This window comes from Homo sapiens, chromosome 12, assembly GCF_000001405.40.
Source record: "Homo sapiens chromosome 12, GRCh38.p14 Primary Assembly".
In the NCBI taxonomy this organism is placed as follows: Eukaryota; Metazoa; Chordata; class Mammalia; order Primates; family Hominidae; genus Homo; species Homo sapiens.
This window is the reverse complement of record NC_000012.12, coordinates 9,816,324-9,828,862: the sequence shown is the minus strand read 5'-3', so window position 1 is coordinate 9,828,862 and position 12,539 is coordinate 9,816,324. Positions and strand designations below refer to the sequence as shown.

At 41.0% G+C, this 12,539-nt stretch overlaps 1 protein-coding gene and 1 pseudogene across 10 annotated transcripts in view; one reads left to right on the top strand and one right to left on the bottom strand.

Annotated features, from left to right (window-relative positions):
* KLRF1 (killer cell lectin like receptor F1) overlaps positions 1-12,539 on the bottom strand; it is a 44,954-nt gene that overhangs the window by 16,143 nt on the left and 16,272 nt on the right. For 9 of the 10 annotated variants that reach the window (NR_159361.1, NR_159360.1, NR_120305.2 and 6 more), the window contains exon 1: positions 1,234-1,382. The exons of the other annotated variant lie outside the window; for it this stretch is intronic. Coding sequence is in view for 6 of the 9 variants with exons in the window: in NM_016523.3 (NP_057607.1) it covers positions 1,234-1,318 (85 nt within the window). In the remaining 3 variants the exon portion in view is untranslated. Of the gene's footprint in view, positions 1-1,233; positions 1,383-12,539 lie in introns of those variants that run through there. 10 annotated transcript variants of the gene reach the window in all.
* Positions 10,829-11,514, top strand: GCNAP1 (GCNA pseudogene 1; annotated as a pseudogene).

Genomic DNA, 12,539 nt, shown 5'->3' with positions numbered 1-12,539 from the left:
TCACTACATGTTGTAGTCTTTCAGGTTTAATATCTCTAATTTCCAAAAATGAAATAAAAATTGAGTGTAGGAAGTAAAGACTTGAAAATATGGGAATCTAAAAATTCACATGGAAGAGGCAATAAATTTCTTATACATAGCACGTATGTAACTCTAAGATGAATCACTGATGGATGATACTTGTGGAAGGACTCAAGAGATAAGTAAAATTTTCATGGGTGAAGTTATTAAAAGAGAAATATTTAGAAAGCAACAGAACAGAACAGACAGTCTCTATAACTGTGATTATTTGTGTCTTTAATTTCTGCTTATCTCTTTTGCCAAATCACATTAAGGTGGCATGATGGAATTGCATTGTGTATGGAGGGTATGCTTGAAGTAGCAAATTAAAATGTTGATTGCTGGTGTATAAACTTTATTTTGAGTCAACTTGGTGAAAAGCATAAAGTTTTTGAGAAGTTGAATTAAAAATTAGTATTAAAGGCTGGGCGCGGTGGCTCATGCCTATAATCCCAACACTTTGGAAGACTCAGGTGGGTGGATCACCTGAGGTCAGGAGTTCAAGACCAGCCTGGCCAACATGGTAAAACCCCATCTCTACTAAAAACGCAAAAAATTAGCCAGGCATGGTGGCGGGCACCTATAATCTCAGCTACTCAGGAGGCTGAGGCAGGAGAATTGCTTGAACCTGGGAGGCAGAGGTTGCAGTGAGCCGAGATCATGCCATTGCACTCCAGCCTGGGCAACAACAGTGAAACTCCGTCTCAAAAAAAAAAAATAGCATTAAAACACCATATTCTATGAATGATAAGGAGGTGAATGGCAGCAAATATTCACTAATTTGAAATTATTAATTTTAATTGAGTATGCATATTTCCTCAGAGAATGTCCTTAAGAAATTATATCAGACAAAATATTACAAGTAAGTGTTAGTTCCACATTGATAAATGGGAGAGAGAGAGATTATCTCATAGTAAATTTGTAAGATTAAATGAAGGAACATAGATAAAACATTCTGTATAGTGCCGGAAACTGGTGTTTCTTAAATGGTAAGAGAGGTTGTTATTTTTAAATCATTATTAATATTGAAAGAGAGGACAGGTGAGAGAGATACAGAGACGGAGAAAGAAAAGCACCCAAATACTGAAACAGTCCAATAACACAATGGAACAGGATACGGGAAACTACCATGTTAATTCACACCAATTGAAAAAATGAAATTAAATTCCATACCTTTAAATGTAAGTTGAGATGTTTGGGCAGAACTCCTTTTCTTTGACTGTACATTCAATGTCATGTATCTTTCTTCATCTTGCATCTTCAATGTGAGTGAATGTGTGTGTATACAGGTATGTTTTGTTTTATTAAGTATAACATGAAATGAGGAAAGAATAATAAATCTGCTGCTAATCAGAGATGCTCCTCAAATTGTCCTTTCACAGTACATATGAGGGTTCACAGTTTCACTTATTTGTGAAAACCTCAGAGGAAATGTTTTCTTTTTAAAAGTTGCTTTCCCATGACATAGATAACACATAATTTCTCAACTGTCCACCACATATTGAATTGAATATTCTTTTGAGTGCTTTACAAATTTCTCTTAATTTACCCTTAAAGTCAAGGGAATGGAAATTATGCCCCTTTTTGAGGTGAGGTTAATAATATATAGCTGCCTTTTGTTATAGCCTAAATATTTATATCATTTGAATTAGCCTCCCTAACATATTGATATTTAATTTAATAATTTGCAATTGCCAAGCAATTAAATTCTTTATCCTAAAACAATATTGTTTATAAATCATGCTAATAATTTAACAGTATAATTTGATTTTTTTTAACTTTTAGGTTCAGGGCTACATGTGTAGGTTTGTTATATAGGTAAAATCATGTCACAGGGGTTTGTTGTACATATTATTTCATCACCCAGGTATTCAGACTAGTACTACATAGTTATGTTTTTCTGATCCTGCCCCTCCTCTCACCCTCCACCTTCAAGTAGGCTCCGGTGTCTGTCATTCTCCTCTATGTGTACATGTGTTCTCATCATTTAGATCCCAATTATTAGTGAGAACATGTGGTATTTGGTTTTCTGTTCCTCCATTAGTTTGTTAAGGGTAACGGCCTCTAGCTTCATCTATGTTCCTGCAATGGACATCATCTCATTCTTTTTTATAGCTGCATAGTATTCCTTTGTATATGTGTATCACATTTTCTTTATCCAGTCTACCATTGATGGGCATTTAGGTTGATTGCATGTCTTTGCTATTGTCAACAGTGCTGCCATGAACAGATGCATGCATGTGTCTTTATGATAGATTTATATTCCTTTGGGTATATACCAGTAATGGGATTGCTGGGTCAAATTTCTGGTTTTAGGTCTTTAAGGAATCACCATGCTATCTTTCATAATGGTTGAACTAATTTACACTCCCATCAAAGGTGTATAAGTGAACCCTTTTCTCCACTACCTCATCAGCATCTGTTATTTTTTGACTTTTTAATAATAGCCATTCGACTGGTATGAGATGGTATCTTACTGTGGTTTTAATTTGCATTTCCCTAATGATTAGTGCCTACTGGAGGATAGAGGGTGGGAAGAGGGAAAGGATCAGGAAAAATAACTAATGGGTACTAGGGTTAATACCTGGGTGAAGAAATAATCTTTACAGCAAACCCCCATTACACAAGTTTACCTATGTAACAAATTTGCACATGTACTCCCAAATTTAAAATAAAATTTTAAAAACACAATATACCCTTTTAAATAAGATAAACTATTAATTCAAGGAGAAAATATTTGACAAATTATCAGAAATATATTTGTTGCTTAATGACAAAAGTAAAAGGATAATACATTTTTGTGTTATTTTTGTTTATTTTTACTTGCTAAATTTTGTTCTTTAATTTATAATTACAATTTCTTTGGCCATTATTTGACACTCCAAATGGATAAGAAGTAAATTAAGATTGATAAATAAAACACGAAAAGTATCTGTTCATGTCCTTAGTCCACTTTTTAATGGGGTTGTTTATTTTTTGCTTGTTGATTGGTTTAAGTTTCTTACAGATGCTGGATATTAGACCTTTGTCAAATGCATAGTCTGCAAAAATTTTCTCCCATTCTGTAGATTATCTGTTCACTCTGTTGATAGTTTCTCTTGCTGTGCAGAAGCTCTTACAGTTAATTATTTTGTTTGTTTGTTTTGTTTTGTTTCACTTTTGTTGCAATTGCTTTTGGCATCTTTGTCATGAAATATTTGCCCATTCCTGTGTCCAGGATGGTAATTCCTAGGTTATCTTCCAGGGTTTTTTATATTTTGGGGTTTTAGACATAAGTATTTTATCCATCTTGAGTTGAGCTTTGTATATGGTATAAGGAAGGGGTCCACTTTCAATCTTCAGCATGTGGCTAGCCAGTTATCTCAGCACCATTTATTAAAAAGGGAATCCTTTTCCCATGGCTTGTTTTTGTCAGCTTTGCTGAAGATCAGATGGGTGTAGTTGTGCAGCACTATTTCTGGGCTTTCTGTCCAGTGGTCTATGTGTCTGCATTAGACCATTGTGTTCCAATGGTCTATGTGTCTGCTTTTTTTTTTTTTTTTACCAGTACCTTGTTATTTTGGATATTGTAGTACTGTAGTATAATTTGAAGTTGGGCAATGTGATGCCTCCAGTGTTGTTCTTTTTGCTTAGGATTGCCTTGGCTATTTGGGCTAATTTTTCTGTTCCAGATGAATTTTAAAATAGTTTTCTTCTAGTTCTGTGAAGAATGTCATTGGTAGTATGATAGGAATAGCATTAAATCTGTAAATTGCTTTGGGCAATATGACCATTTTAATGATATTTATTATTCTGATCCATGAGCATGGAATGTTTTTCATTTGTTTGTGTCATCTCTGATTTCTTTAAGCAATGTTTTGTAATTATCCTTGTAGAGCTCTTTCACCTCCCTGGTTGACTGTATTCCTATGTATTTTATTGTTTTTGTGGCTATCATAAATGGAATTGCATTCCTGATTTGGCTGTCAGCTTGGGTGTTGTGTATAGGTGTACAGGAATGTTGGTGATTTTTGTATGTTGATTTTGTATCCTGAAACTTTGCTGATGTTGTTTATCAGTTGAAGGAGCTTTTTGGCCAAGAGTATGGGGTTTTCTAGGTATATAATCATATGGTCTGAAAACAGGAATAGTTTTACGTCCTCTCTTCCTATTTGGATGCCCTTCATTTCTTTCTCTCACCTGATTGCTCTGGCAAGGATTTCCAATACTATGTTGAATAGGAATGTTGAGAGTGGGCATTCGTGTCTTGTGCTTTTCAAGGGGAATGCTTCCAGCTTTCACCTGTTCAGGATAATGTTGGCTGTGGGCTTATTACAGCTGGCTCTTATTATTTTGAGATGTTTCTGCAATACATAGTTTATTGAGTGATTTTAACATGAAAGCGTGTTGGTTTTATTGAAACCTCTTACTGTTTCTATTGAAATAATCATGTGATTTTTGTGTTTAGTTCTGTTTATGAAATGAGTCATATTTATTGAGTTGTGTATGTTGAACCAACCTTGCATCCCAGAGATAATGTCCACTTGATCATGGTGAATTAGCTCTTTGAGTGGTGCTGGATTCAGTTTGTCAGTATTTTGTTGAGAATTTTTGCATCTATGTTTTTCAAGGATGCCGGCCTCGAGTTTTCTTTTTTTTGTTGTGCTTCTGCCAGTTTTGGTATCAGGATGATGTTGGCCTCATAGAATGAGTTAGGGAGGAGTCCTTTCAACTCAAATTTTTGGAATAGTTTCCATGGGAATGGTACCAGCTCTGTACATCTGGCAGAATTTGGCTGTGAATCCATCTGAGCTTTTTTTGGTTGGTAGGCTATTTATTACTAATTCAATTTCAGAGCTCATTATTGGTCTGTTAAGGAAATCAATTTCCCCCTGGTTCGGTGTTGGGAGGCTGTATGTGTCCAGGAATTTATCTATATCTTCGAAGTTTTCTAGTTTGGTATACATAGAGGTGTTTGTAGTAGTCTTTGATGGTTATTTATATTTCATGGGGGTCAGTGGTACCATCCCCATTGTAGTTTCTAATTGTATTTATTTGAGTCTTCTCTCTTGTCTTCATTATTAGTCCAATGAGAGACTTTTTTTTTTTTCCAAAAAACCAACCCCTGGATTTGTTGATCTTTTTGATGTTTCTTTTGTATCTCAATCTCTTTCCGTTCAGCTCTGATTTTGGTTATATTTAGTCTTCTGCTACCTTTGAGGTTGGTTGGCTCTTACTTCTCCAGTTCTTTTAGTTATATGTTAGAGTGTTAAATTTGAGATCTTTCTAACTTTTTTGTGTAGGCGTTTAGCGCTATAAGTTTTTCTCTTAATACTGCCTTAGCTGTGTCTCAGAGATTCTGGTATGTCGTATCTTTGTTCTCATGAGTTTCAAAGAATGTTTCGATGTCTGCCTTAATTTCATTATTTATCCCCAAAGTCATTCAGGAGCATGTTGTTTAATTCCCATGTAATTGCATGGTTTTGAGTGATTTGTTTTGTCTTGATTTCTATTTTTATTGCGTTGTGGTCCAAGAATGTGTTTGGCATGATTTTGCTTTTTTTGTTTTTTGGTTTTTGAGTTTTTGTTTTTTTTTTTTGCATTTGCTAAGAATTGTTTTACATTCAATTGTGCGGTCAATTTTAGATTATGTGGCATGTGGCAATGAGAAGAATGTATATACTGGTTTTCTGGGTTCGGAGTACTGTAAAGGTCTATCAAATCCATTTGGTCCAATGTCAAGTTCAGGTTCTGAATATCTTTGTTAATTTGCTCCCTTGATGACCTGTCTGGAGTGTTAAAGTCTCCCACTATTATTTTGTAAATATTTAAGACTCTTTGTAGCTAAGAACTTGCTTTATGAATTTGGGTGCTCCTGTACTAGGTACATATATATTTGGGATAGTTAAGTCTTCTCGCTGAATTGAATTTATTATTATGTAATGTCCTTCTTTGTCTTTTTTCATCTTTATTGGTTTAAAGTCTGTTTTGTCTGAAATTAGGATTGCAAACCCTGTTTTTTTTTACTGATTTTCATTTGCTTGTTAGATTTTCCTCCATCCCTTTATTTCAAGCCTGTGTGTCATTGTGTGTGAGATGGTTCTACTGAAGATAGCATACCATTGAGCTTTGATTTTTTATCCAGCTTGCCACTCTGCACCTTTTAAATGGGGCAGCTAGTCTGTTTACATTCAAGGTTAGTATTCATATGTGTGGATTTGATCCTGTCATTGTATTGTTAGTTGGTTATTATGCCAGCTTGTATCTCCCCATCCCTTTCAGGGATGTCGATGATTTGTAGATTTGGCGCCTTTACATAATCCTATATTTCTCAAAGATTTTGTTCCTTCCTTTTCATTCTTTTTCCTTTGTTTTTGTCTGACTGTCTTATTTTAGAGGGCTAGTCTTCAAGTTCTTCAGCTTGGTCAATTCCACTGTCAATACTTGGAATTGTATTGTGAAATTCTTGTAATGTGTTTTCCAGCTCTAGCAGATCAGTTAGGTTCTTTTCTATAGTGGTTATTCTGTCTGTCAGCTTTTGTATTGTTTTAGTGTGATTCTTAGTTTTCTTGGATTGGGTTTTACCATTTTCCTGAATGCTGATGATCTTCATTTCTATCCATATTCGGAATTCTATTTCTGTCATTTCAGTCAGCTCTGCTGGTTTAAAACCCTTGTTGGATAACTAGCGCAGTCATTTGGAGGACATAAGAAACTCTGGCCATTTGAGTTGCTGGAGTTCTTGTGTTGCTTCTTTCTCTTCTCTGCATTTGAGTGTTTCTTTAGCCATGATGTAGATTGCATATAGTCAGTAGACTTCTTTTCTGGATGTATTCACAGGGTTGAGGCTTTGTGCAGGGTCTTTACTTGCAACTGACTTGTCTTTGGTCTCATAGTGGAGTGGGTGGTATGTTAGTGAAGTAGTTTGGTATTAAAGCTTTGGGATGTGATGCAGTAGGTTGTGCTTAGGCAGAGTGTTCAGTTGGTTGGCTCTTGATCAGTTGTGTGGCTCCCTTATATTTCTTCACAGTTGCAGCCATGCTGCCTCTCAATGCTCTGAAAGTTTGGGATCCTCTCCCACTTGAGTGTTGGCTGTAGATTATGGCTTGTCATTCCTGGGCTTTCCCCCACAGCTCTGGGGTGATCTCAGTGTTTATGTTTCCTCTCCAACTTGGAGGCAGCAGCAGAAGGGACCTTAGGAGTGGTTGTGGCTGAAGGTCTTTTATTTACCTCCTAGGGGCTCTACCCCAGAGAGGTGTGGGTCAGCAATTGCTCAGTGCAGTCTGCCCAGGATGGGGGTATCTGTGCTATGGGCCCAAACCAGGGTTTCTCTGCTTGGTGATGAGCAGGGGAAGTGTGCAGGACCTGTGGGAGATGAACTTTGCTCCTCTCCTTGGGTCGACTGTTGCTTGATGGGGGTATGGATAAGGTAGTTAGGGTCTTTGCTCCTTCATTAGTCTGAGGGTAGCAGGAGTAGTACCGCTGCAGAGGCAGTGGCAGATGGGCTTTTGGTTGCCCCTGGGGGTCTCATGTCTGAGGAATGCAGAGCTGCTGTTACTGGAAGTGTTCAGCCATGGGGGTGGGGCAGCTGCATTGCTGGCATGAGCTTGGTATTCCACTTTTTGGGGAGCAGAGGATTAAGAGTAATCAGGAGGAGAGAATGGTCTCCTCTCCCTATGGTGTCTGTGGCATGCTGTAAGCTTGAGTGTAGCCCTCAGGATCTTTGTTTCTTCCCCAGACTGAGGGTAGCAGGGATAGAACTGTTTCTATCCCTGTGGCAGAGGAGCTGTTGGATGCCTCTGGAAGCCTCTCCCCAGGGGAACTCTGAGCCACTACCAGTGGGTATGGTCAGCCATGTATGGGGCAACCATTCTGTGGTCATGAGCCAGGGGCCCTGCCTGGTGAAGAGTTAGGGGGTGTAAGTTCTCAGGGAAAAGGGGCTGGACTCTTTCTGTATGTTGACTGTGGTGTGCTGGAGGGGCCAGTGTGGTCACTAGGCCCTTTGTTCTTTCCCCAGCCCAACGGCCATTAGGCAGCACCGCTGCAACTGCAGTGGTGGAGGGGTTGTGGGTTGACTCTGTGATTTCCTCCTCAGAGAAATGCTGGGCTGCCTTTGATTGAAGTGGTAAGTTGGGGGCAGGGTGGTTGTGCTGCAGTACCATGTCCAGCGGCTGTGCCCAGGGAGGAGAAGTGAGGTCCAGCATGTGTGTGGAGAACAGTCCAGCCACTTATTCATGAGGTGGGTGCTCTGTGCTGAGGGCCAGATCAGCCCCTGGTCCCCACAGACTCTCCAGAGCCTGGAGACAGAGCGAGGGATGCAAGACGGCAAAGATGGCAACCTTCCCCTCCCACTGGGAACTCTGTCCAGGAAGTGGCAGAGCTGCTACTGGCTCGAGAGCCACAGCAGGGGGTGGCTGGAGGCCCAGGCTGAGAAGACCCGCCCAGCGAGGAGATACGGGATCAAGGTAACAGTCTGGTCATGTAACAATCTGGCCACCATTCTTGCAGGGCTGTTGCAGTATTCTGGGAGTCCACTCCAGTCCCTAGTTACCTCGGATTTTCCAGTACCTGAAGGTATCAACAGTGAAGGCTGTGAAACAGCAAAGATGGCAGCCTGCCTCTCCCACTGGGAGCTCCATCCCAGGGAGGTTCCAACATGTTGCTGGCCCAAACACACTGGTGAGGGTGGCTGGTGATCCCAGTTGGGTGGTCACACCCAGTGAGGAGAAACAGGATCAGTGACTGCTATAAAAAAGCACTCTGGCCACTTTCTTGTAAAGCAGCTGTGCTGTGTTGAGGGTCCAACCAGCCCCCTCATAACCTCAGACTCTCCAACGCCCAAAAGTGACAACAGTGAAGGCTGTGAAGCAGCACAAATGGCAGCCTGCCTTTCCCTCTGGGAGCTCCATCCTAGGGAGGTACAGACGTGTTGTCAACTGGAAAACACCCGGTGGTTGTAAATCTTGGTTTTGAGATTCCAGCCAGTAAAGAGAAACAGGGTCTGGGATTCACATGGAAAGGCAATCTGGCCACTTTTCTGTAGAGCTGCTGTGCTCTGCCAGGGGACCACTCCAGTCCCTAGTCGCCTCAGACTCCCTGAAGGCAACAATGGCTAAGGCTGTAAGACAGCAAGGATGGTGGGCTATCCTTGCCTCTGGAAACCCCATCCCAGAGGGGTACAGACCTGTTGCCAGCTCAAAAACACTTGTGGAGGTGGTTGTGGACCTCAGTGAGGAGATTTTGCTCAGTGAAGAGAAATGGGATCCAAGACCCACGTGAAAAAAACAGTCTGGCAGCCTCCCTGTAGAGCAGCTGTGCTATTTTGGGGGCTTCTCCAATCCTTAGTCACCTTGGATTTTGGCAACAATGGCTAAGGCTGCAAAACAGCAAAAATGATGTCCAGCCCCTCCTTCTGAGAGATTCATCTCAGGGGAGGTATAACCTTGCTACCAGTGGCTGGCTGGAGTTCCAAGCCAGAGGGTCTTATCCTGTGAGGTGCCATGGAAGCAGGGCCTGCGGACAATCCCTGCTCAGCCCCTTGGATTCAGCCCCTTTCCTAGGGATGTAGAGATGTCTAAATTCCCAGCCACTTTTGCTGGGAAGCCCTGGTATCTAAGGCTCCCAGGGCTCTGCGTGTGCCTGAGAGGCTACTCTTCCAGGACTCCCTGTAGCTCTGTGTGTCAGACTGCAGGCCTTTGTGGGATGGGTTCACAAGGGGATCTCCTGACCCAAGGGTTGCAAAGATCCATGGGAGAATTGTGCTCCCCCAGGTGCTCAGTCACTCACTGCTTCCCTGGGTGGGGAAGGCTCCCCTGGCTCCATGTTGCTCCCGGGTGGGCAGTCGTCCTGCCTTGCTTTACTTCATCCTCCACGGATTGAGTTGTTTTCTTGATGAATCCCAATGTGTGTAACTGGATGCTTCAGTTGAAGGTGCTGTATTTACTAGCCCCTTCTATTTCTCCTGTGAGAACAGCACACACTAGCTGCTTCTAGTTGGCTACCTGCACTTGCTCAATATTATAACTTGAAGAAGACAAAAAAATACTGACAATTTTTTTGGCATTCTAAGACTAATTCTAAATACAAAAATAAATAAATAAAAGCAAAATTTAGGGGGAAAACATTTTCATTTTGGCATGGACTATGCCTGGAACCAGGAGATTTACCAGCCAGTCACCTAAGGGCAGATTTATTACTTAAGTCTCTTTAATCTTGGACTAGATGCTGCTTGGTCTTCATAGGAACAATCACATATTTTAGGAACAGATTTGCCTTCTATGCCTACAGTGCTTCTACTAACATCAATACTTAAGAGTTACAGAATGTCTTATCCATTGTCATGGTTCCTCACACAATATTGTATTTGACATTTTACAACAAAGAAAGATTGACAATCAGTTCATGCCTATAGAAGTTACTTGCCCAGTTGCTCAGGATCTCACACACATTCCATGGGCAGTTGGAGGTGAGCTGCCGCTGGCCACACCAGAGGCTGCAAGACCAGACATGGACAGGTACAAAGAAGAGCTGTGCCACTTGCACAACCCAGAGGAGAATTGATACATCCTTAACGTTGATTCAAGCAGTGATGAGAACCACGGGTCTTCTATGGCCAGAAGAGCTCAGAAGAGACAGTCCAGCTCTATGGTAGTGATCAACTCTGACTCTGATGATGAATGCTACTCCTATGAGGAGAAGAAAGCTAAGATATTCTAAATAAGCAGTGACGATGAGAGTCTGGAGTGTTGTTATGTGCAGCCCACCATCCAGGAACCCTCCAATAGTTATTAGTGATGGTGATGATGACAATGATGACAGTAATGATTTGGAAGTTTCTGTGCCAGCAGAAGATTCGTATGATGAGGACCAAACTGCCTCAGATGAAGAAGAGCTGGATGAGGCTGCTGTCTGCCAGCATGATTCATCTGATGATGCTGGTTGAGCATGATCTTGGTGAGAATCTTAGTGAACCACCAGGTGATCCTGAGACTAAACTTGAGGTTTCAGAGAGGAAGCTGCCAACTGAGGAAGTGCCTGCACCTGTGGTGGAATAATCAAGGAAAAGGAAGGCAAAGACCAAAAAATATCATGGGGTGACTGAGGAAAAGACAGGCAAAGACCAAAAATATAGTGGAGCCACTGAGGAAGAGGAAGGCAAAGACCAAAAATGTATCTGTAACACCTGCTGGTAAGGGACAGAAAAACCGTGGACCTTCAAAGAAGAAACCCGGTGTGGCCAAAGTTGAAAAATGCAAGACTAGGACTCATAAGCGCAAAGTCCCTGGATGTTTCTTGCTTGACCTTGAAAAGTCAAAACAGTACTCTGGAAAAAAATCTCAAGCGAAATAAGGATGAACTGGTTCAGAGAATCTACGACCTGTTTAACAGCTCCGTCTGTGATAAAAAGCTACCAGAGAAACTAGAGATCAGCTAGAATAAAAAGATGCTGAGAACTGCTGGCTTATGCAGCACTGGCAGGAATTACAAAGCAAGGCAGAATTCTTAAGGTTATCTGAGAGTATATTCGTGTGAGCTAAATCCTTTACTGGTAAGAAGTGTTAGAAAAGTTTGTTTTTGTGAAATTAAGGATATTAGAATTTAGATACTGTTAAGTAATATTAGAATTTAACATTCATGTTATTAACCATGATTGACCTTAACAAGGGGCTCTATTGCTAACCATTCTGTGCCCTTGACAGGGTAGATCTGAAGCCCTTGGGATCTACCTTGGGTCTTACTTCAGCTCAATAGTTTTCACACGTAGGACAAAATGCAAAAGAAAAGTGAGTTTTCAATAGTGGCAGGTTGAGAGAAAGAAGAGAATGCTGGATGGGAGGCTGAGGCGGGCGGATCACGAGGTCAGCAGATCGAGACCACCCTGGCTAACACGGTGAAACCCCATCTCTAATAAAAATACAAAAGAAAAAAAAATATTAGCCGGGCATGGTGTTGGGCCCAGCTACTTGGAAGGCTGAGGCAGGAGAATGGCGTGAACCTGAGAGGCGGAGATTGCAGTGAGCCGAGATCGCGCCACTGCACTCCAGCCTGGGAGACAGAGTGAGACTCCGTCTCAAAAAAAAAAAAAAAAAAGAAGAGAATGCTGGAAAGAGGACAAGTTTTAGAGGCAACACTTAAAAACCAGGGCTACTGTGACATCTACCTAGACAGGAAAGATGAACATGTTTCATGAAGTTCATTGCTGATGACACTGAATGAAACTATCTGAGCCATGTAATCAAAAAATAGAATGTTTTCTGCATCTCAAAAAAAAAAAAAGAAGTTACTTGCCCCTAAGTAACTGGCTAACCAGGGTATTGAAATGACTTCCTGAAAGCACACTAATGACACCAGTTGGAATAAAACAGCTTGCAAGTGTGGGATTCAGTTTTTTAAGAGGGGGTATTTGCCTTACCAATATATGTTGCTGTCTCTGCCATAGCCAGAATGTACAGGTATGGGAACAAAAGCATAGAGTTAGGATTCAGATTTGGAGTAGCCTT